The following is a 2,986-nucleotide window of genomic DNA, read 5'->3' on the forward strand; positions in this document are numbered from 1 at the left end:
ATACGCTAATGAGTGGATAATGCAATAACCTTGAGGCCTTCTGCACTCAGATTGCCCTATCATAAAAATGTGAGCAAACTTGAGTAACATAAAAACAAATATTCACAAATTTATTTTAATGGAGCCCACACAAAAATGTGTAAGGCAGAAACAAGGTTAAAGTATATAAAATGATAATGCTATTAAATTTAATAATCAATGAGAAAAGTGGTAGAGAATCATATTTGCTCTTTGACATGTCTTGATTACTATTGTGGAAGAGTCCCAAGACTAGGAATCCACTGTAAACCCAGGATACAGAGGTGGCTATGGAAGGTTGCCTGCTCCAACTGATTAATGTGCCTCTGGTATATGAGGCAAATGCTGCTCCTTGAATTGGCACACAACTCCTCTACCTAACTTCACAGGAAGGTTCAATCAGTCTCATTGTTCTACTCTAGCTGTATAGGATATAATCTCAAACGATAAGAAATTGCAGCTATCCTTGTACTAAGCAAATCAAGACCTGTCTTTTTAATCTGCAGGTGAAATTTGATACGTCCTTTGAAAACTAAGTATGTTATTGGTAATTGATTACGGATTTGAAGCTTTTATTCCTAGATTTCTTAAAGGGCCAGATATGTATCTAGCTATTGGAATTGACACTTGTTTACACTGAATTTCTGAGTCATAAGCAACAAAGGATAAATAGAGGAAAGAGTAATAGTTTGAAAAATGAGAAAATAACAAAGAAAGTTTATGGTAGAATTTATTTCTAAACTACCATGGACATACTGTCCCTGTTTCTGGTTAATTTAAAAATGAGTAAAATTATTCTTCTGAAAAGCAATTTCTTATAAATTGGGTATGTGAATATAATGCATGAAGAAAGTAGAGCAGAGAGATGAAATATGTAGGCTCTTTAAGACTACAGTTTAGGGCCAAATCTCGAGCCATAAGTTGTTAGCCATGTGATGTTTGGTAGAATCAATATACTGTCTGTGCTTCAGTGTTCTCATGTGAAAAATCGCATTGCAATACTATATTCCAAAAATGTTTGAAAATATTAAATCAAATGATATATGAACAGTGATTAGAATAGTGTTGGTGATTATGAACACTTTAAGATTAAGTGTACATACTTTCAAATTGTTGTTCTTTTGCTTTCTTTTTATAATATCTTTATTAAACATATTTTTAGATGAACATTATAATGCCATTCTATGATATAATATAGAAATACCATATTGATTTTAGGGGTTTTATAATGCTGTAATTTTAATTTTAAATCTGCACTCTTCTGCACATTTTACTGGAAACTTAGCTGACTTACACTTTAGTGCCTCAACAGTTATCATGAGGCTGAGCATCATCTGTCAGAAACAAACACATTGAAGATTCTGAACTCGTTGCTCAGAGGTTTTATTATAATATTAAGCACAGGATGTAAGAAATCTAAATGTAGCACATCCGGAAAATATTATCTTCTACAAATACAATAATTTGGATTTGTTCCTGTTCAGAAGACATGTTGAAAATGCTCAAGGATATTGTACAGTGATTTCTTTTTTTTAATTTATTTATTATACTTTAAGTTTTAGGGTACATGTGCACAACGTGCAGGTTAGTTACATATGTATACATGTGCCATGTTGGTGTGCTGCACCCATTAACTCGTCATTTAACATTAGGTATATCTCCTAATGCTATCCCTCCCCCTCCCCCCACCCCACCACAGGCCCTGGTGTGTGATGTTCCCCACCCTGTGTCCAATGTTCTCATTGTTCAATTCCCACCTATCAATGAGAACATGCGGTGTTTGGTTTTTCATCCTTGCGATAGTTTGCTGAGAATGATGGTTTCCAGCTTCATCCATGTCCCTAGAAAGGACATGAACTCATCATTTTTTATGGCTGCATAGTATTCCATGGTGCACATGTGCCACATTTTCTTAATCCAGTCTATTGTTGTTGGACATTTGGGTTGGTTCCAAGTCTTTGCTATTGCAAATAGTGCTGCAATAAACATATATGTGCATGTGTCTTTATAACAGCATGATTTATAATCCTTTGGGTATATACCCAGTAATGGGATGGCTGGGTCAAATGGTATTTCTAGTTCTAGATCCCTAAGGAATTGCTACACTGACTTCCACAATGGTTGAACTAGTTTACAGTCCCAGCAACAGTGTAAAAGTGTTCCTATTTCTCCACATCCTCTCCAGCACCTGTTGTTTCCTGACTTTTTAATGATTGCCATTCTAACTGGTGTGAGATGGTGTCTAATTGTGGTTTTGATTTGCAGTGATTTCTTTTTTTAAATTATACTTTAAGTTTTGGGATACATGTGCAGAACATGCAGGTTTGTTACATAGGTATACACGTGCCATAGTCATTTACTGCACTTGTTGGCCTGTCATCCACATTAGATATTTCTCCTAATGCTATCCCTCCCCTTGGCCCCCACCCCCCAAGAGGCCCCAGTGTGTGATGTTGCCCTCATTGTGTCCATGTGTTGTCATTGTCCAACTCCCACTTATGAGTAAGAGCAGGTGGTGTTTGGTTTTCTGTTCCTGTGTTAGTTTGCTGAGAATGATAGTTTCCAGCTTCATCCATGTCCCTGCAAAGGACATGGACTCATTCTTTTTTATGGCTGCATAGTATTCTATGTATACATGCCGCATTTTCTTTATCCATTCTATTATTGATGGGCATTAGGGTTGGTTCCAAGTCTTGCTATTGTGAATAGTGCTGCAATAAACATACGTGTGCATGTGTCTTTATAGTAGAATGACTTATAATCCATTTGACCCAACAATCCCATAACTGGGTGTATATATATATATATATACACACACACACACATATATATATACACATATATATATCTCCATATATATATATCTCCATACATATACTCCATATATATATATCTCCATATATATATCTCCATATATATATCTGCATATATATATCTCCATATATATATCTGCATATATATATCTCCA

This window comes from Homo sapiens, chromosome 6 (genome assembly GCF_000001405.40).
Source record: "Homo sapiens chromosome 6, GRCh38.p14 Primary Assembly".
Lineage (NCBI taxonomy): Eukaryota > Metazoa > Chordata > Mammalia > Primates > Hominidae > Homo > Homo sapiens.